This window comes from Homo sapiens, chromosome 10, assembly GCF_000001405.40.
Source record: "Homo sapiens chromosome 10, GRCh38.p14 Primary Assembly".
Classification (NCBI taxonomy): domain Eukaryota; kingdom Metazoa; phylum Chordata; class Mammalia; order Primates; family Hominidae; genus Homo; species Homo sapiens.
This window is the reverse complement of record NC_000010.11, coordinates 88,800,862-88,823,268: the sequence shown is the minus strand read 5'-3', so window position 1 is coordinate 88,823,268 and position 22,407 is coordinate 88,800,862. Positions and strand designations below refer to the sequence as shown.

General features: G+C 38.9%; 2 protein-coding genes across 5 annotated transcripts in view; one reads left to right on the top strand and one right to left on the bottom strand.

Annotated features, from left to right (window-relative positions):
• Positions 1-3,373, top strand: part of ANKRD22 (ankyrin repeat domain 22) — a 31,949-nt gene extending 28,576 nt beyond the window's left edge. The window contains exon 6 of the mRNA NM_144590.3: positions 251-3,373. Coding sequence (NP_653191.2) covers positions 251-328 — 78 coding nt within the window. The 3' untranslated portion in view covers positions 329-3,373. The remainder of the gene's footprint in view (positions 1-250) is intronic.
• LIPM (lipase family member M) lies at positions 2,723-20,539 on the bottom strand. Of its 4 annotated transcripts, none has more exons than XM_011539748.4 (9): positions 20,226-20,539; positions 14,854-14,971; positions 9,974-10,172; positions 8,630-8,739; positions 8,045-8,181; positions 7,766-7,912; positions 6,382-6,474; positions 5,373-5,444; positions 2,723-3,037 (listed from the first exon to the last, which is right to left on the bottom strand). In XM_011539748.4, exons 1-9 carry the CDS (start codon positions 20,370-20,372, stop codon positions 2,768-2,770), a joined length of 1,293 nt encoding a protein of 430 aa, XP_011538050.1. In that variant the 5' UTR covers positions 20,373-20,539; the 3' UTR covers positions 2,723-2,767. The 4 variants fall into 4 exon arrangements, with proteins under 4 accessions (XP_011538050.1, NP_001121687.1, XP_011538053.1 ...); NM_001128215.1 differs by having other exon boundaries at positions 6,382-6,453; XM_011539751.4 differs by lacking the exons at positions 14,854-14,971; positions 20,226-20,539 and adding an exon at positions 10,262-12,361.
• Between the last annotated feature and the right edge of the window lie 1,868 nt (positions 20,540-22,407).

Below are 22,407 nucleotides of genomic sequence, written 5' to 3'. Positions count from 1 at the left end.
TGGACCGTGGTCTGAGGTTCCTCTAGCAGCAGCATCTTCTAATCTAGGCCTTATGTTGAAGTAAATTATTTGCCTCTGACGTAAACAACAGTAAAATTAATCATCCTCATTAAGGAATGAAGTTATCCTATTACTATTAGGACTGATTGCCTTTTAAAGCCCTTGCCAACACAGAGAGTCAATTGGTCTAAGCTACGTACGAGATCTTGGGCACTCTATTGGAAATAACTGTATATTTTTCCCCCCTCAGCATGGTGAGAGCTCACTGGATATTGCACGGAGATTAAAATTTTCCCAGATTGAATTAATGCTAAGGAAAGCATTGTAATCCTTGTGACCACACCGATGGAGATACAGAAAAAGTTAACGACTGGATTCTATCTTCATTTTAGACTTTTGGTCTGTGGGCCATTTAACCTGGATGCCACCATTTTATGGGGATAATGATGCTTACCATGGTTAATGTTTTGGAAGAGCTTTTTATTTATAGCATTGTTTACTCAGTCAAGTTCACCATGGCCGTAATCCTTCTAAGGGAAACACTAAAGTTGTTGTAGTCTCCACTTCAGTCAGAAACTGATGTTTCAGCTAGGCACAGTGGTACATGCCTGTAATCCCAGCTACTTGGGAGGCTGAGGTGGGAGGATCACTTGAACTCAGGAGTTTGAGAGCAGCCAGGGCAACACAGCGAGACCCTGTCTCAAAAAAAAAAAAAAAAAAAAAAGCCCTGGTGTTCCAAACTCAGTCTTTCCTGAAGAAGAGGATCTGAGTTATCTTCTGAAACAGCGTTCTCCCTTCCCAGTTGTATCACTCTTATAAAAAGACTGTCCAGTCTATGTCATGCCCTAGGAGACAAACTGTTCCTCCCAGCCCCCTTTGAGTATTGAGCAGAAGAATCAAATTATTAAATACGTATGTTTGTACAGAATGGTATTTGTGTATGTGTGTGGGCTTAGAGATTCACAAGTAAATATTCCTTTGGTGAAGGAATTTCAATAAAAACATCTATCAAGTGTCAGCGGTGAGTGTGTTTACACCACAGAAATTGGCAAATTGACAAATCAGAGTTTGTTTTTGTTTTTTTGTTTTTTACTTTCCATAAAGTTCGTTTACCAGCATACCACTAGAGATTTCGGTTTACAAATAAAAGCCATCTTGGTTTGAGCAAGACTATGCAACTATGAAAATGTTCGTTTAAAAAAATCTTCATGATCCTTTTGTAAATACAAGGTGGTTGCCAAGCTTGTTAGTTTTGTTTATTTTATTGATAGATGTAAAATATTATTGTAACTTATTTGGATAAAGTTCTTCAAAAGAAACAGAGCTATACAATGAGGTAGGATCTGGATTATTTGTCTAAGTGAGAGATTGCGAATATCAAAATATCTGTCTCACTTCTTCTGTGAATGACACAGAGTAGAAATAAATTCACTTTAAAAATATGACTGAATTTTGAAAATCAAGACTGAATCTCACATAGCTGCAGACAGGAACTAAGCCAGCCTCTTTGTATGTGGTAACAAGTACAGTATAAGAATGAAAGATTTACCATCCTTGAAAGCTCTAATGAAAATCAAATCCAGCAATATATATTCAACTGTGTACAGGATTTAAGAAACTTATTTTATGAAGGAAGTAATAGTGTGTAGATATAGATTCTGAAGTCTTTAAACGTGTCTTAATAAATTAAGATTCACTGGCATTGAGCTGAGCTACCAGGTGACCCTTGGGGACAAAAAACCCACACAAGTGAATTTCACACACCAGTATACCTTCAACAATATACTTTTGACACACACAAACCTTTGATTTGGTTTCAGAGATTTTGCAAAATAGTACCAATGTAATTTACAACTGTCATCTTTGAAATTGTGTAAAAGTGGAATAATTTTCTGAAGAAATAAATCATGGTTTGTCAATGAGTTGCAGAGACTGTCTGACATTAACTTTGTCAAGATTAAAGGATAAAGTATATGACAATTTGTTTCATCATGCTCATGACATTATGCAATTTTCTCCCTAGCTTTTAATTTTTGGAGGCAGAAAATTGAGCCAGAAATTTTTAGTCATTAGGTCTCCTAGCAACAAGCTGTAAACCTTCCAACAAGCTTGGACTAGAATCTAGACACTGAAATGCACATACATGCTTTATGTAATGCAGAATGCATTTATTGGAGAACTCATAAACATCCTATAAAATTTTCTTCCCTGAGATGCAACTATAAAACTTGGCCTTATTCTGAGAATGCTTAACATAGATTTCATCCATACTGTAACACTGATTTTGTTGTTGTTGTCCTTAAAGCAGCTCAGCTTCCTGAGGTAGTGTTATGTCTCTGTGGCAACAAGGTGAAAATGTCTAGCTTATTTTGTCAAAGTCAACAATAATCCACAGACTCCAGACCTCAATATCTGTCCCAATTTGCCATTTTACTTTAGTGCTCCAAAAATATGGCTTATAGAAAAAACAATAGGTGTTTTAAAGAGATTTACCTGAATGATATAGAGAATGTCTAGATATTTTCTGGCTATCAGGTAAAACCTACCCTTCAAGATGGTAGAATATATAATAGCATACAAAACCTCTATTTACCTAATAAGTACTTTAATTTACAGAAAAAAAATGTAAATGTAAGTGTCGGATTTAGTGCCAAGTGCAGGGAATCTGAAAAATGTATACTAGGTCTCTGCTCTCCGTAATTCTGCCTTCATGGGTCCTAGCCCCATCCCTCAGGAGGTTGTCCTAAGATCGTCAGTGTCAGATGCTTCACAATACGGCCTCACACCGTCCCTGGGAAAGGTTGGTCTCCTCCTGCTGCATCAGATGGATGATTTCATTGTACATACGGTGAGGAGCATCCAAACCCCAGATGAAATCCACGTGAGCCCATTCAGGAATATTCTTATGGTAGATGAGGTTGGTCACCTCAGAGAGCAGCATTTTCACGTCTTCTGGATTTGAAAGCCAGTCCTGACCTCCTGTCCACATTGCTGTAGGGACCGTCATATCTCTGACTCTGTACCTTACAGGAGTTGGCTAGAGAAAAGGAATAGTTCTTAACTCTAGGTAACATTTGGACTTTCAGGCTCATAATTTATGTTTCAAATAGACATAATAAACATGCCATCTGTTGTGGTGAAGGGTACATGGGTGTTAGAGCCACACAACTCTGTTAAGAATTTCTGTTCCCGCCCTTACTTTAAGGTAAAATTACTTAACATTATTGAACCTCAGTTTCTTCTTCTGTGACTGGGGATAATATCTGTAATAACTTGCTAGATCAAATGACAAAACACATAAAAACATGTAATGCCTTGTATTTCTTTTTTCTTCCTATTAAATATTTTGTAAATAAATTGTTTTTAAAAATAATGCCCCTGTTCTTTTAAAAGATAATTTCACAAACATTTCATGAAAGAAGAATTATATTCCACAGAGAAAAGCAAGGAATCTGCTGGGAAGGGCTCTGCATCTTCACAGTCTTTATGTGATCCCAGGCAGCCTTTGAGGCAGACCCGGCTTGACTGCATTTGCCAGAACCATGGCCTATGGCACTCAGGTAATTTGAGCTAAAGGGAAGTAAAAGTTAAATACCTGCTCCAATCCTTATTCCTCACCCTTCCCCACCAAATATACCAATTAGTATTCCTAATACCTGGGAACTTTCCGTATTTATGCAGTGTTAGTAGAATTAGCCTAGCCGGCTGAGCCCTTGAGATTAATCAGCATCCAGAACTTTCCTCAGAAGTGGTAAGGCCCATTTCTTACTCAGGAAATCCACCATGGAGTCTTGGCTCCAATCCTAGATGCTCTGGTTTCTCTTTGTGGCTCAGTTATGGCCTAATTTGGATAAGGAAGGTTGAAAAATTCTATGGGGCTAGTAATTTTTTTTGTCATCTTACAGGTGAAAAGATTGAACTGAATGTCATATCTCGCTCTGAGTTTCTGTGATTCTATGATTTTTTTTGTGTGTTTGTTTACTCTTCCCTTCCACTCCCATTTTCTGGTGCCTATTCTGCATGAATCAATTTCTCTAGAACTCAGTCCATTAAATGTTGATAAATTAAAGCCATCTTAGGGCCGGGCACAGTGGCTCACGCCTGTAATCCCAGCACTTTGGGAGGCTGAGGTAGGTGGATCACTTGAGGTCAGGAGTTTGAGACCAGCCTGACCAACATGGTGAAACCCCATCCCTAAAAGTACAAAAAAAAAATTAGCTGAGCATGGTGGCGTGCACCTGTAGTCCCAGCTACTCGGGAGGCTGAGGCAAGAGAATGGCTCAAAGCTAGGAGGCAGAGTTTTCAGTGAGCCGAGACTGCGCCACTGCACTCCAGCCTGGGTGACAGAGCAAGATTCTGTCTCAAAAGTAAATAAATATAATTAAAAAAACATCTTTGAACAGAAATACTTTCTCTAAAGACATATTTTGGGAAACAGTGAAGAAAGACTTCAAGAGAAGCAGCTGATACCAGAGATTGAGAGTTCACTATCCAGGGGCACTGCACAGTTTGTCCAGTTTCCTAGCATTTTACATCTAGATAGACATATGGCAGCGGATGTTAATTTATGATGTGAGGGTCTCAAAGAAAGACTAAGCTGTGTCTAATCTGCCCCTTCCAGTATTGTTTCTATGGTAAATATTTATTTACATTCATACACATGATTACCAAAAATCTTCAGAAGATTTTATGTTCTAAAGGGCATACCTGTGCAATTCTGAATCTCCACACTTTGATATCTAATTTTAGTTCATAGCATTAGCTACATATTTTCTTGGGTAATGTAATAACATTTTTAAAAAATGTAACTTGCAAATTACAGATTCATTTAAAGTATAACTAGGGAGAATGCCTATGGATTTTCTAAGCCCAAAATTTTTATTTTCAAGGTAAAGAAATTGAAGCCTGAAAAATTAAAGCAGCCTCCCTCCTATTACAGAAGTTTATAGTGCAGAGGCAAAACTTACACAGCAATCCTCACTTGCCATTTAATGTTCCTTTTACTGTGCCATGAAACAAACTTACTGCCACCATCCCATTTTTTTTAATTCTAAAATAATCCTTCTAGTATCCACCATAGACTACACTCTTCTCTTGACTAAATCTACTTCATCTTGCTCCTGAGAAGCCCAGTACCTTGTTTAGGGAGACAGCCTCAGCTAAAAAGGCCTCCTACTCCATTGTAAAAGCAGAGAGGTTTCTTGGATCAGCTGTGAACTTAACCATTTTCAAATGGAGTCAAACATGAACCATTATTTTCTGCTTAAATTTTCATATTTTATTCCCATATCTAGAATAAACTGTCATTATAACGTCCCTGTCATACATTTCCAATGTATATATTTTCAGCAGATGGTATTTGATTTTCTTACCTGATTGCATTTTTCCAGATTTTTGGTCTCACTCCCCCAGTCAAATGCCCGGAGTTCACCAGAATTCACTGCCTAAAAGGAGACAAAAATTTACAAGGAATTCCAACGTCTCAGTGGATAAGCGTGGTGGGGTGGTGGAAATGTGCTACCCAGTGTGCACTCATGAGGGAAGGAGAGAGCAATGGTTGAGCTGCTCTTCCATTCAATGTTGGGATAAGCGTCTCAGGAAAATGGTAAGACAAGAATGAGGCCTTTTGAGAAGAAAGAGGGACTACATAAATTCTTGATCATTGCATTAGCAACTCCAGGAAGTGCATCTTCATTGTAATTAATGTGAGTGGGTATCCTCCACAACTGTGTGGGCTACAATGGGGAATCGTGCCCTGGAATTGTGCAATGTGGTGATCCTGGAAGATAGCAACCAAAATTTAATTGAACTTATAATTCTTCTCTGGTTTTGATGGTACAATTGCTCTCTCTCTCTCTGTCTCTCCCTACCTGTCAACAGAGAGAACTCTCTCCTTCCCCCATCCCTCTCTTTCACACACACCACATAGACACACAGAGGTGTGTGTTTCCTGTAATTGCAGGTAAAGTTTGCAGTGTGAAGGACTCCTGTGAATATCTCTTTTGACAGACCCCACATTAGCATTTTTGTTTCTACTTGACTGTATTGTTGGAGGAGCTGAAGAGAAGATGTAGAAACATAATTATCTCCAGCCACATCTTTGAGGTGTCTAGAGACAGAGAGAAGTCTCACTTGGATCATCTAAATTCATACTTTTAAGATCTAAAGAAGTTCTTAGGCTACTTCTGTCCTTTCTTCCCATTTCTTGAAAAGTTTCAGTGATCTAGATCAAATTCTCCATCAAAATAGCATCGACGATACTGCATTTCATCTTAGAATAAGTGTGAAATAATCCCTGGCTTATCTAAATGGTGTCCTTTGACTATTCTACACAAAATATAACAGGACATTTAGCAAAGACTGCAAATTCAACATTCTTACCTGGCTCCAGTGTAGAATATTTTGCACAGATGTTCCAGCAAGAGTGTGGGCAGCATATACACTTGCTCGGCTCTGTAACAAACCATGAGTATTCTGGGGGACATAGAAAAACTCACAAGATGTATACCCTGTCAAGACCAAATCTCCAGGGTGTCAGACTAAGAAATGGTAACATTATTAAGTTATCAGCAATTATCTATGAAACAAAAATATGTACATGCACGTAAATAAAATGTCATTAAATGTATTGCCAGACACCGGTATTTTTCATCTGAGAATAGGTTCTCATCAGAGATCTGGCCCCTAATTAAAAAAAATTTTACTAGTGATATTTAGGATGAGGGCTCTAGCATTGGGCCTGTATTCAAATCCTAGTTCTGCAGTTTAATTTTTAGGTGAATTTGAGTGAGTCACTTAATCTACTAAATCTTAGTATACTAATCTGCAAAGTGGGGATATTAATAACACTCATAGGCTTGGTATAGGTAATAAATTAGCCTGATACATAATATATACTTTTCATATCCTTACTATAAATCAAATTATTAATCTTAAAGAAGAAGAAAAAATATTCAGAATTAAGGAAATGTTGCCCCAGCTGCTGGGAGTGCTGCTGGCAAACAGCCCTCCACTCTCAGTCTGCTTTGAGGATTGCACCAATTGTAGGCAGATACATTGCCCAGTGCTACCCTGTTACTGGTATGGCTACATTAAATGACTGACTGATATGGTGTATAAAGACCCAACCCTCTCTTCCTAACTTGAGACGGTTCTGAAGGGTCATCCTATCTTCAAAAATCCCTGCAGGATCAACTAAGTCTCCTATTGAGACTGCATCACTACTTGACTTTTTCACCTACCTAGTCCTGTTTCTTTTCCTTCTCTAGGTATTATCCCTAGAGCAGGACCCAAATCATTGTTCACATTAACCTCCATCTCAGAGTATGCTTCCTAGGGAACCCACCCAGTGATACCAACTGGTAGCCTAAGCCAAAATGAAGGTCCCTGATGTTCCATCAAAGAACTTAAACTACAAACCTACAGGACCCCAGTGCAGGGTAGAGGTGGATGATGCATGACAGTTGTCTCTGTTGTCTAACATGTGCTAATTGCTCTTTTTAATTTAATTCACTGTAGTAAAGCTGCTTTCAGACCTCTTCCATCTATAATCTGTGATTTAATATCAGCAATGCCCTTATGTTAACCTTGTTTCAGTCCATACTGAAGCATTTCCCTTATTTCCTTACAGTTTGCAGAGAACTGAGTTACTGAGAATATATCATTACTCTGAGTCTTCACTGGCATTAGCTCTCCCTCCAGGGGTGAGCCATATGACTCCCAGCTTTATGCTGGGATGCTGGGAATTTACTAGGCTCCCACTTACCATGTTCATATTGTTGGTGTTGAATCCACCCAGAAGTAACATGATATTACTACAAATCTGATCAAGAATCACCTGGCCACAAAGGTAAATAACAAGTTGTCTGAGAAATCTGGTCTGATACAGAAATTCTTTTTTGCCAAACAATCCCTGTGAAAATATGAAGTGACATAGACATGACAGACAGAAAAGATGTGACTGTAATTTAAAAGTTTATGTTTTAGGAAATTGGGCTGGAAGATTTTTCTACGTACACAGGAAGTTTTCTGAGGAGTCTCATACCTTGATCATCATATCTGGCAGCAACAAAAATTTGGTCCCGGGGCTTTTTGCATGCTTAACAGTGGCTATGGGTGCTAAAGCAAAATACATTTTGATTTTCTGAGCCAGCTCTGGCATGGTGGAAAATGCAATAAAGCCTGCAAAAGAAGAAATATGTCAACATGAATACGAAATATTTTTAGAACTCATAAAATGTATATTTTGCTTTTAAATACATATTTCAATAAGTATATATGTGACTGCATCTTACCTCTCCTATAAAATTATAAGGTCCTTATGACACCAGCATATTTGCTTTCAAGTAGTAGGTGCTCAATGAGTTAAATAAATAATTGAATAACACGATGTTGGCTTTGAGAAAATATTTATATTGAGAGATATGCTATATCTAGACACATATAGCACAGAGATATGCTATATCTAGCACATATGTCTATATGCTAGACACATTGCTGGGGACTACATGATTCTGAAGATGAAAAGAGCAGGTCTGAAGGAAGCACAAGGTGACAGATTTCAGGGATAGCTAGTGTCGTATGCTCACATTTCTTCCGAGTATACAAACCTGCTTTTCTTTGAACCTACCCATGGTGGTGCCCTGTGAATAGCCGACATAATAGATCTTTTCCTGGCCCGTTTTCTGCAAAATAAAGTTTATCACTGCAGGAAGGTCAAACCTAGCCATCTCATCATAACTACAAGGGGAAAAGACAAAGTTATATGAAAAATTATAATCAGAAACAAACAAAAGCTCCCCCCGACACCAGGTTTACAAACAAGCCCTTGAGTTGTCAACTCTGACAGCTTGTTACCGTGTCCCTCACAACACTCAGAATGGATTTCTTTCAAACCTATGAAGCATGGGTGCCTCTGGAGTCACAGGCTGTCAGCAAACTGCTGTTTTCTCTAGATGTTATCACGTAGCAATAACTATCTTCAGTGAATATTTACTGAGCACATAACGCAACTGCTAGTGGAAGTGTCCTGTTCTACTGTTAAGCAGAACCGCACAGGGCTCTGCAGATTCATTTACAGGAATAGTTGTAAAGATGCTGAAGTGGTCCGTCTCTGATAGCCATAAAAAGTGAGTTGAACATCAATAGGTAATTTAAATAAAAGAGTTAAAAATCTTTTGTAAGAACATGAGAGGTAAGTCAAATCGATGGTCCCTAGGTGATATGGTTAGGCCTTGTGTTCCCACTCAAATCTCATCTTGAATTGTAATCCCCATAATCCCTGTAATCCCCATGTGTCAAGGGAGAGACCAGGTGGAGGTAGTTGAATCATGGGAGTGGTTTCCCCTGTGCTGTTCTCGTGATAGTGAGTTCTCATAAGATCTGATTGTTTTATAAAGGGCTCTTCCCCCTTTTGCTCAGCACTTCTTGCTGCAGCCTTGTGAAAAGGGTGCCTTGCTTCCCCTTCACCTTCTGCCATGATTGTAAGTTTCCTGAGGCCTCCCCAGCCCCGCTGAACTGTGAGTAAATTAAAACCCTTTACTTTATAAATTACTTAGTCTCGGGCAGTTCTTTACAGCAGTGTGAAAACGGACTAACACACTAGGCTTAATAGTTTCCTTTCTTTTTTTTTAATGCTGCCTGGTCTCTTTTCCTTCTGGAGTACTATTATACTATTACCCGCCCCTCCCCATGAGGAAATTGATCTACACTTCTCTCATTCCAATCTTAGTCACCTGACACCAACCACCATTCTCACCCTATTAGCTAGACCCACCTTCTACATGGGGAACTCAGCATTCCTCACTACTTCAACCAAGGAATCACTAGTTAATTAAGAAAACTGGGGGATATCATGTTAAGATAATGATGACTCAACCAAAATAAATCAACCAAATACTAGAAGCCGTAATTTTTTACCCATTTTTTTTGAAAGACAGACATGTCTACCTCTGTTCTCGAGATTATCATATACCTGAAAGCCCAGAACTCATCTTGGTCTATGGAGAGTGTCTTGTGTTTTCGAGACCAGGCGTTTCCCCTGCTGTTCCCCATCCACACGTCAAAACCAGCATCTGCCAGAATGAAGCCCAGGCTATTGTTGGGCAGGTTGGAAATCCAGTTGCTAGCACCTCCAACTAGGCCATGCTGCAGTAACACCACAGGCCTGGAACCTGCAAAAAGAGAAAATTTCAACTGTATGAAATGTTCTCTCCCTTTCTTGTTGTCCAGTAATGAATAAGAGCTTTCAAATCAAACAAACCTGTGTTCAGATCTTGATTCAGCTGCTTGCTAGCTTAGTTATCTTGGCCAATTACTTGACCTTTGGTGTGTGCCTTGATTTCCTCATCAGTAAAATAAGATTTTTGTTATGCTTTAATAAAATAGAGCACAAGAAATGGATGGCATGTTGCCCGGCAGAAAAAGAATCTATAAAGTTTAACTTCTGTTCTTTGTTTTGTGTAATTATTATCAGACTTGTCTGGGCTCTTCAGAAATATTGAAAGTGCCCCAGTAGATGGTATAGTATGATTATTAAGGTATATGTATACCACATATATATAATGGTTTAGTGATTAAGAGACCTTCATGTCAAAAGGACCCACAAGCCAGCTTGAAGGAGCTCCCACTGTTCAAATACAGAAATATTGAGCATCAAAATAATTATAGTAAATAATTATATCCCATTGAATAAATTAAGAATGTTCAAGTCCATATAGAGACCAATAAATAAATGAACAAATAAATAATTGGAAGGAAAAGCTCTTATTTACAGAATGCCAATTAGTAAATACAAAACATTGATTTACAGTACAATACCCACTAACAAATTCAGAAAGATTGAAATTATCAGTGAATGTTAAAATTAGTGAGTAAAATTTAAAGACAGAATACTACATATCCTGAAATTATCTTCCCATAACTTATTTGTTAATTACAAAAGGAAAAATACTAACTTTAGAAAAACCTGGCAGATACCACCTTAATGAAGTCATTAAAGTTATTATCAGTATTGGAACAAGCCAACATTATTTGCTTCATAATATGATGAACCAAGAAAGATATAACTTCACTTTTGGGTTATTCCTGCCAAAAACATATAACTTGAATCACACCATGAAGAAACATCAGATAAAGCAAATTAAATCCCTGTCCAAAACTCTTCAAAAATGCAAAAATCAAAAAGACAAAACCTTAGGAATTGTTTGTTTATGAAGGAGACAGACTTGGTGGCCAAATGTATAGTAAATGATCCTGGATTAGATTATGGACCAGAGGAGGGAAAACAGCTGTAAAGGACTTTGGGACAATTGACAAAATTTGGATATAGACTACGAATTAAACACTAATGTCAATCAATGTTTGTTTTCTAACTTTGATAAAGGTATTGCAGTTATAGAAGAGAATACTCTTGTTCTTAGAAAATACTCACTGAAGTACTTAGGGGCAAATAGGCATGATGTATGTCTCAAATTTACCATCAAAGGTTTTGGAAAAAGTATTAAGATACACGTAAGAGATGGGGGAGAGATAATGATAAAATAAATGGGGTAAAACTGTAAACAGTTGGTAAATCAGGGCAAAGGGCATATGGAAGTCCCTTGTACTATTCCCAGGACTTTTCCATAAATTGGAAATTATATCAAAATAAAGAATTATAAGAATATCAGTAGAGAATAGAGAAGGATGAAGGGTTTTAAGAATTCTAATATGTTCAATAAATTAAGGCATATATATTATTTTGACATTAGCAAATTTGGCTGAAAGATTAATAAGGTGCTGCCCTATTAGGAGTAAAAAATATGTCATGCCCTCAACAGGACTTGTGAGAATTAAATCAAATCATGAATGCAATATCCACACCTCAGTATTGGCTCAGAAGAAGCCTGCAGTAAAAAACAGCCTTATTGCTTTCATTATTATTGTTATAATTCTCTAAAGCAAGTGACTTTCTGAGCTTCAGTGTTCTCATTAGCAAAATGAGGACAATTGCCCACCTCACAGGGTTTTGGCAGGGGAGGGTTAAATGCGGTACTGTGCATTAAGCACTCAGCATGCTGCCCGACCTCAGATCAGATGGGTAGCTCTTGTTGTTATTGCTATAAACGGGCACCAAACACACATGCAGTCTCCCTGTAGGACAAAAGCCTTCTACACCAAACTCATCCAGCATCTTGACAGTCTTCATGAATTCCATCTGCCTCATTTTGTCTCTCAAGGGAGAGAACGTGTGGGTCACTGTGGACTGTGAGTGAAGGGCCAGGAGGAAGGAACTCAGTGTTATTTTAGATTTTCCTTGAAAATCTAATCTGGTCATTTAGTTCATCCTCTTAGTTCTCAGGGAGGTGACCTCAGCTGTGTTAACACAGGACAATCAAACCAAGGTGATCAATGCTCCCCTTGAGAGTCCGGGCATTTCCCATGGTTAAGGTCACCTTGGTTCTACTTAGTCATATAGTTTGTTCTTGTGATTCCCCTAACAAGAGGAATGGCTCATTTATATCATTTCAAACATCCCCTAGGTCTTCTATTTAATTTACACCCAGCAGGTAAGTGTGTAAGGGCTACACTTACACAGCTGTCATTTCTGAGGATGGCCCAGCCTATTTTCTCTCTTGATATTGAAGCCAACTAAGATTCTTTGATAAAGATAAAAAGGCCGCTACCACAAGCTATAAGCTTTACAGTAAACATTTTTCAGTTGTTTTCAATAAGAATTTCACTGGCTTTCTTGGTTGGTGAATTTTTTTTTTTTTTTTGATATGGGAGATTGCCTCTGAAGAGGCACATGCCAACAACATTGGCCACTAGAGGGAAGTATTCTGCACGGACTGGAACAAGGAGGCAGATTCCTTGAACCTCAAACACCTGGGCAATGTGTGAACAGTCTGAATCAACAGGATGTAAGAAAACAAATTCCATCCATAGAATAGGGGCTGCAGGTGACCCCCATGCTTAGTAATTGCTAAGTCACTCGACTGCTTGGAAGAACTGTGCTTTTACCACTCCCCTGAGATTCGTGGGGCTGTGTCCCCAGGCTATTCATTTATTTATACAAAATCTATAATTCATCCCGCAAATATTTATTAGCACCAGAATGTGCTCAGCACTCATTTAGTTACTGGTTCTAGCCTTGAGCAAAACAAATGATGTCTCTGCTCTCACTGAGTTTACACTCTGACTGGGGGGAGACAGACAATAGACAAACATGCAAATATCTATTATATCAGGTGATGGTAAGTGCTATATGGAAAAGTAAGCAGGGTAAGGGGCTAGAACTCAATAGGTAGCAAAGAGCTGCAACTTTGAATAGGGTGGCCAGGGAAGAACTCTGATAAAGTTGGCTGAAAGAAGGGCCAAGGCAAGCTGCATAGACATCTGATGAAACAGTGGTCCAGAGGGAGAAATTTAAGTTCAAAGACACTAAGGCAGGTGCACGCTAGACATGTATAAGGCGCAGCTGTGCAGCTAGTGAGAAAAAAAAAGGTGGTTTCAAAAAGCTACACAAGTACAAATTGGAGTAAAACAGAACCCCAACGTTTCTTTACACCAAAGCCCAATAGCATTTGTCCAGCATTTTCTGGTCCTAGTTAAGAACACGGGCTATAATGGCAGAGAGACAGATTTGATTTGAGTGCAGGTTTTACAACTCACTAGCAAGCACTAGCACAGACGTTTTGGGCAAGTTGCTTAACATATGTGAGTAGCAGTTTCTTAGGGTAATTGTGAAAATTAAATGAGACTAATACAAATAAAGCACTTATCAGTGTATCTGGCATATCAAAATAACACAAGAAATTATATTACCTATACACAAGAAAGACAATATAGTTGCTACTATAAACCTACTGCTAGAGTATTAAAAAGAATCCAGCCAAATAGAAATGAAAAATAGGCATATTTTAGTAATGAAAACAAATGTTTAAAAAATAACAATAGCTGAAAATCCCACATACAAAAGGGTGGAATTGTATGAACTATGGAGACATGTATCAAACATTTAAAATGTATGTATAGCCAGGCGCGGTGGCTCATGCCTGTAATCCCAGCACTTTGGGAGGTGGAGGCGGGTGGATCACCTGAGGTCGGGAGTTCAAGACCAGCCTGACCAACATGGAGAAACTCTGTCTCTACCAAAAATACAAAAATTAGCCAGGTGTGGTGGTGTATGCCTGTAATCCCAGCTACTTGGGAGGCTGAAGCAGGAGAATTGCTTGAACCCAGGAGGCGGAGGTTGCGGTGAGCTGAGATCCTACCACTGCACTCCAGCCTGGGCAACAAGTGCAAAACTCCACCTCAAAAATAAAATAAAATAAAATAAAATAAAATAAAATAAAATAAAATAAAATAAAATAAAATGTATGTATAGAACTTTCGTTTTTCAAAAGCCCTTAGTAAAAAGCTAGGCAACATCTTAAATATTTTAAGTGCTCTTTAGATGAGGAATACAGAGTATACAGGAGCGGGTACCAGGTGCCATAAAGAAGCTTGAATTCTTCATAATCAGAGGCTGATATGGTCTGTTCAAGGAATTGTCAGTAAATATTTTAGAATGTCTACATAGGAGGAGTTTTGGGGAATGGGTTAAGCGCTAAAATAAGTCAAGAAATGAACTTTTCTTGAAGGAGTGTTTTGAAAAGCAAACACTGTATGTTTAATTGAGATAATTGGTGGCAGTGGGGACGGACACGGTGGTGGTGATGGAGACTATGGGGGAACTGACACCATCCTTTGACCTGAACAATGGACCTCACTCTGCACTAAGAACCCAGGCTCTCTTCTACATTCAAATCACAAGGAAATCGTGACTGCAGAGAAGACTGCTGTGTTGCGGTGACATGGGGTGACCCACACCTGTCTTCTTAGGTTGCACTAGGCCTCGAGGAATCCTGTTAACAGAAAGGATATACCCATCTTCAGTTGCGACTTCATATTCCTCACAGGGATAGCCTTGATGTTGGATGATTTCACTCTATGGAAAAAGCACAATTTCTTTTAGGTTCAGTTCTCTGTGGCCATATTCTCAATGATCCAAAAGTAAGAGTAGATTCCTTGATGCTGTAAAACACAGTGAAAGTCCTTGCTTTTCCCTAGCTAATCATGTTACCTTAGAAAAATCTGCTAACCCTCTCTAGTCCTTACTTTCTTTGTCTTAATATGGAAACCGGAATAGAATTATGGTTCTCAAAGTATGGGCCTTGGGACAAAGGCATCAGCATCACTTGGACTAATCTGTTAGATATGCAAATTCCAACCAAACCTACTGAATCAGGAACTCAGAGGACTGGGCCCAGCAGTTTGTGTCTCAAGCTCTTTAGGGAATTTTGATGTACCCTAATGTTTGAGAACCACTGGATCAGAACATTGATTCCAAAACCTCGTTGTGCATCAGAATCTTCTGGGCATTGAAACATACAGAGTCTTGAGCCCACTTCAGGTTACAGATAAGATGGTTCTAAAGCAGCCAGTGGGGCACCTGTTCCAGGACAACTTATGAGCATTCCTGGGCCATGCATTTCCTAAGGTTCTTTCCAGTTCTAAAACCACAGACTCAAGAGCATTGATTCCTAACATTTTCAGGTTAAAGTTCCCTCTGTGAATTTGAGGAGAACTATAAAAATGGATATACAATGGATACAAAAACATGGTTTTGCATTCAATTTCAGGAGTTTCAGATATCTTGTTGCCTACATACGAACCCCTGGTTAAGAATCCTTACTCTATACAGTAGTTACATGTAGACATTCTCTGGAAAATTTGTAGCTGCAAATATCTTCTAAGCATCCTCACTATTCTTGCCCATTGTTATCACTCAGAGAGAAGGAGAGAACCATTTGCATCAGGGGCTGCTTTAAAAAAGAGCAAGAGAGAAGGCCAAACATCACATGCCCAGGTAGAATATAGGGCAAAAACAAAGCATAGTCATTAGGAGAAAGCTCCTGGGTCCCACTGTTTGAGTTTTAACACTGGTTCTAACACTATTACATAAACTAGCTGTATAATCTTGAGAAATTTAGTTAAACTGCTCCTATGCTTCAGTTCATGCATCTGTAAATTAGGAATTCTAATGGTTCATACTCCATGGGACTGTTGCAATAAATGCAAAAAGATAATGCACATATAACACTAACTGTAATTCCCAGCACATAGTAGGAACTCAATAAGCATTAACTACCACTATAATTAAAACTCAATTAACCGAATATTATGGAATGCAGTGTATATGTGTGCATGTATGTGTGTGAGACACCATTGTATACTTAACCTTAAAAAAATGTATAGGCCGGGCACAGTGGCTCACACCTGTAATCCCAGCACTTTGGGAGGTTGAGGTGGGTGGATCACAAGGTCAGGAGATCGAGACCATCCTGGCCAACATGGTGAAACACCATCTCTACTAAAATAATAATAAAAAAAATTAGCCGGGCGTGGTGGTGCATGCCTATAGTCCTAGCTACTTGGGAGGCTGAGGAAGAGGAATTGCTTGAATCTGGGAGGCGGAGGTTACAGTGAGCCAAGATCGCGCCACTGCACTCCAACCTGGTGACAGAGGGAGACTCCATCTCAAAGAAAAAAAAATTTATAGAAGTGTCTCAAATTTTAGCATGCATCAGAATTACTTAGAGGGTTTGTTAAAACACAAATTGCGGGACCCCACTCACAGTCTGATACAGCAGGTCTGTGTGGAACCCAAAAAATTGATATACAAGTTCCCAGGCAAAGCAGATGTTGCTGATCTGACAACTATCCTTCAGGAACCACTGTTGTCAACTATTTGGGGAGTTAAATATATATAAAAACATGAGAATGGAGGACATCTGACAAGTAGTTATTGAGAGGATATGTGTAATGTGTCAGATGAGGGATGAAGGATGAGAGTGAAGGAAGGAGCAAAGGAATTCTGAGCAGGAGGAGCAAAATGAGCAGGGCTGGACAGGCAAGGTCTTATGGAGGAAGAATTTGAACTGGGCCTTGAGGATTGAATAGAAGTTGCTCAAAAGAGCCAAGGAGGTAGGGATAGGGACATGGACATCTGAGAAGAAAAAGAACTACAAATGCTGCAAACATTGTCTACAGGTGGCAAGATGGTCAACATGCTATACTTGGCAGGAAAATTTATGCAGGCAATAAAGGACTGGTCCCATCCACTGGAAGTGCTGTCAACAGATCACCCTTGGCTGTCATTTTCTGTAGGAATGGCCTTAGCTGTAGAAAGCCACTTCCTCCAAGTTCACGTCCCTTCCTGCCACATCCAGTGACTGACCTGTTTGCGGTCTAAAGGCCTGGTCATCTCAGCCCAACGTAGGACATCTCTGAAGAGCAGTTTTAGCTCCATAGCTCCTCATGGAGTTGAGTCTGGCTGTTTTGAAGTCTGTATCACAGTTTGATTTATCTCTTTCCTTACTCCTGATTCTCTACTTCCTTTCCACAGGCGATGATGATGATTCTCCTTAATAAACATTATTGTATGAATTCTGCCTCAGAGTCTGTCCCCCAGAAAATCCAACCTGGGGCAAATACTTATTTAAAAAAATGGAACATAATGCAGCAAGGTGAAATGATGTTGTAGAAGGGTATTTAAAACGTTGGGAAATTCTTCATGATATACATTGTTTAGCAGAAAAAACGTTGGAAAATAGTAAATTGTGCATGACATTTCTTCTTAAGAAAACAAAACCTCACAGATTTAGAATGAAGATAAAGGCATGACAAAGCAGTTCTTGGTGCAGAGTACATTGGTGACTATTGCCTTCTTTTGTATTTTTTAAATTTTCTATAATGAGCATATATTGCTTTTGTAATAGTATAAAAAAGTCAATGTTTAAAAGACCATCCAGATATAAGCTGCTTTCAGCTCCTTGAATCTGGCATGTTCTTAGCTGCTCCAGCTGTCCTATGTGCTGACCTTTTTGCTACCACCCTCTCAAGCAACTGCCATTTATCTTTCAGATTTCAGGCTTTGAAACCCTTCTTCAGCAAAGCTTTCTGGATTAGTTCCCCCTATTTTATGTTTTCTTCTTTTATTTCATTGCTTTTATAATGACTAATTGATGATCTGTCCTTCCTGCTGGACTATAAGCTCCATAAAGTCAGGGCTTTTAATATTCTTAGATCTGTCTAACCTTAGTACATAACACAATATCATGGACCTAGTAGGTGCTCAGTAAACACTTGCTTAAAAAATACATGCATAAGGCCAGTTATTCATCAAAGTATAAGATAGACCATAATCCATATGCATGAATATACAGAGTCAAATCAATGCAGGACAGACAAGCTCCAAAATTGGGGCTTACCCTGGGAAGGTTCTTGGCTTTGCCCAGGAAAGAATTCAAGGGTGAGCCGGTAATACTAGACAGTAATCTTTTACTGAATGGTACTGCTCCTTGAAAAGCAGAGCTAATTCATAGGCAGTGCTCCCAGAGTCAGCAGTGTATGGGCTATTGGCAGCTGTATTTATGCCTACTTATAACTATTAATTTCATGCAAATTAAGGGGCAGGTTATTCAGAAATCTCCAGAAACGGGACAGTAACTTCTGGGCCATTGCCATGGAAAGGGGTACTAACTCGTGGGTCATTGCTATGACATTTGTAAACTGTCATGGTTCTGGTAGGAGTGTCTTATGCTAATGAGCAGCCGGGGCAACTAAAGGATGCCTTCCAGGCCACTGCTGGTTCTTGCTGTTTTTTTTTCACCACCTGCTGGTTTGTGCTTGTTTATTCACTGTATCCTGTTGGGACCAGAAAGTAAGTCCTGCCCTTCTCCTACCTCAGAACCAGTTCAAACTTGCAACTACTTTTATTCTATTTTGTTGAATTTACACCAATCGTACGAATTTTCTATTTTACTTTGTTTTTTTCCAGGCATAGCTGCTTAAAGGCAGAGCCCAATTCAATGGGCTTTAGTCTACAGACTCCTGAAGCCCCAGTAGTGTATAGGTGCTGGGTACACGCAGTGGGTGGGGCCCAGGAAGATCATCTCTGTCTGCCACTGCAGAGATTCCCCTCACCTCCAAACCAGAGGAATTCAAGTGGGACAGTCTCAGGGCCAGAAGGATGACTCCTGAGGACTGACACCAATGTGCTAACTACCTAGACAAACCACCTAATCATTGAATAGTCAAAAGAAACCTGATATTCAGCACCATGCAGATACAGAATATTTCTATTTCCTCTCAGTTTTTGAACCCATATAAGGAAGCTTCTGTAGAAAGGGTCTTAAATCGGTATAAATACATGTTAAAGTTCCATTTTCTGAGAGTTTGTTAGATAAATCTCTGGAACATGAACATTGCACATGATCGTCTTACTCATCTGGAGGTAGCCTCTCCTCTTTCTCACCTGGGAGGGTTTATTGCGTAGTATTTATAATTATAGACTTTGTGTTTAGGCAGTCCTGAATTTAAATAGTAGCTATGCTATTACATTGGTATGGCCTTGTTCAACTTGTTTAACCTCTTTAATCTCAGTATCTAGATTTGAAATATGTGAATGATCCTATCTACTGCACAGGGCAATGAAATTGAAATAGAATAGTATCTCTGCTTGTGTCATAATCCCTGCTATGGGATAAGTGTTACCATAGGGTGACCATTACTAAAACCCAGCTTAGAATTTGAAAAGCTACCAAAAAAAAAAAAAAAAAAAACCTCCTGGGAAAACTAAAGAGATGTACTGTCATTTATGCATTTTACTTGTAGGAGGTTCTGTGTAGCACTAACTCGGGGTCCTTTTATTGCTATTCAGCAAAGTACCAGTCCAGAAACAGGATAAAAAGAGTAGATTAGAATGGTATAAGATGCTACTAGAAGTGTGTGCCCTGATAGCAAGAAGCAAAGGCTGACACCTTTGCAATATGGAAAAAAAGAATAAAAGAATAAAAGGTACAGACAAAATGGAAATAATCAAGGGACTGGGGTGAACTTAAAAGGCCTTAATTACTTCTCCACTCATAGGATGAACCAAAGTGTTCAAGGAAAAGTTAAATTGTGTTTGAAGCTCAAAGAGATTAAGTCATTTGCCCAAGTTTACTAAATTTGTGTGAGGAGACCCCAGGTCTACTGACATCCAGTTTAGCATTCTTTCCAGTACAATTTGCTACTTCATCACTATGCTCTTCTAGTATGAATCACCACCATGTATAAATATAATACATAATGTAAATAATACACAGATACAAACGTTAACATGTTAAGTACCTCATTTCCCAGAAATCCCAACTTACAATATTCATGAATGCTTCTGGGTCCACAGCTTTAGTTGGCATATGTACTGAATTCACATTTCTCTGGAACATATACGCCACCAGAATCAGAAGCCACATTTCCATTCTGTGTGAGACAATCCACTGTCTTGACAAGGTTTCCAACATGGTCCAACATCTGCATTTATTTTTTCCTGCCAATGTAACAACTAATTCTAAAGTAAGAAGAATTTGTGGGTTTAAAAACTCTTCACATATTTTCCTGCTGCAATTCCCTCTTCCAATTCTGAAGCAAATTAGGCAAGCTTAGTTGGTAGGGAAAGAACACAAAGTAGGCTGGAAACATTGCCTAGGATGTCCCAATACTATCTGACTCCTCCCATTCCTCCCTCACACAACTTGTAATCCCTAATCCTTCAACTTCCAGGTGTGTAGAACTTTCTTTGATGTGACCTGGAATTTTGTGCATTTGATACAGCCTATTAAAACCCCTGTACTTTATCACCAGGTAATAAGGAGTGTAGGGAACCTCTTTCCTTCCACTCCTAGATTTTATCTTTCTTTGATAGATAGCAAAAGATGGAGTCTACAGAAAGCACTGAAAGTTTCTATAGTCATATTCTGGGTCTTCAATGATCACTGTTTTTTGGTTAAAGATAAGTGTTGTGATAAGTGCTTTTATTTAAAATATCTAAAATTTTATGGACATTTTCTACTTTTAGGGATGGGTGAGAACATTGATTAGAAGAAAATGAATCTTCCATGTTTAGCCCATTTCGTCTAGTTCAATTAAATAGATATACACAAAATTTTTATTTTAAGTTGTAATCACTAGTTAATCACTGGGATATGACTAGATGGATTATCTAGTAAATAAATCATCAGCTATTGTGTATTTTAGTTTTTTATATATATTTATTATATTTTAAGTTCTAGGGTACATGTGCACAACGTGCAGGTTTGTTATGTAAGTATATAAGTGCCATGTTGGTGTGCTGCACCCATTAACTTGTCATTTACATTAGGTATATCTCCTAATGCTATCCCTCCCCACTTCCCCCACCCCACGACAGACCCCGGTGTGTGATATTCCCCTTCCTGTGTCCAAGTGTTCTCATTGTTCAATTCCCACCTATGAGTGAGAACATGCAGTGTTTGGCTTTTTGTCCTTGTGATAGTCTGCTGAGAATGATGGTTTCCAGCTTCATCCATGTCCCTACAAAGGACATGAATGCTTCCTTTTTTATGGCTGCATAGTATTCCATGGTGTATAGGTGCCACATTTTCTTAATCCAGTCTATCATTGTTGGACACTTGAGTTGGTTCCAAGTCTTTGCTATTGTGAACAGTGCTGCAATAAACATACATGTGCATGTGTCTTTATAGCAGCACGATTTATATTCCTTTGGGTATATACCCAGTAATGGGATGGCTGGGTCAAATGGTATTTCTAGTTCTAGATCCCTGAGGAATCGCCACACTGTCTTCCACAATGGTTGAACTAGTTTACAGTCCCACCAACAGTGTAAGTGTTCCTATTTCTCCACATCCTCTCCAGCACCTGTTGTTTCCTGACTTTTTAATGATCCCCATTCTAACTGGTGTGAGATGATATCTCATTGTGGTTTTGATTTGCATTTCTCTGATGGCCAGTGATGATGAGCATTTTTTCATGTGTCTGTTGGCTGCATAAGTGTCTTCTTTTGAGAAGTGTCTGTTCATATCCTTCGCCCACTTTTTGATGGGGTTGTTTAAGGGATAATATCCAGAATCTACAAAGCTATTGTTTAAAATAATGGGTTGCAGCCTAGTTATTTTCATGAACTAAATGTCTCAGTTCAACTGAATGTGAGGCAAATGTGAACAATCCCTTAGCATACTAATGATTGAGCAGGTCAGGAGGGTTGATTTATTTGTCGTTTTAAGTAAAGAATGTGTTAAAAGTTAAAAAAATATTACTTAAAGTGAAATATTTCTCTATTACATCAATTCTTCAGGGTTGAGCTAACAGCAGCCACACCAATATGCAGACTTTTGGAATGTGGTGGGTGAAGGAGCCAGATGCTGAAACCAGAAAGATAAGTCTGTCAGAACATATCTTCCCACATGACTCAGCCTCCTCCACTTTGGGCTGGTTGCATGGGTGTGAAGAGGTAAGTCTGCATCCTTATCTGGACCAGTGTGAATGTCACTAACACAGCTA

What these genes read in the sequence shown, in the direction of transcription:
- LIPM (XM_011539748.4), bottom strand. Translation starts at nt 20,372, where the DNA reads ATGTTGGAAACCTTGTCAAGACAGTGGATTGTCTCACACAGAATGGAA. An exon ending in GATGAGTTCTGGGCTTTCAG is followed by an intron (nt 8,740 to 9,973) that starts GTATATGATAAT and finishes TTCCCCTTGTAG; the next exon opens with TTATGATGAGATGGCTAGGT. An exon ending in ACACCAACAATATGAACATG is followed by an intron (nt 6,475 to 7,765) that starts GTAAGTGGGAGC and finishes TATGTCCCCCAG; the next exon opens with AATACTCATGGTTTGTTACA.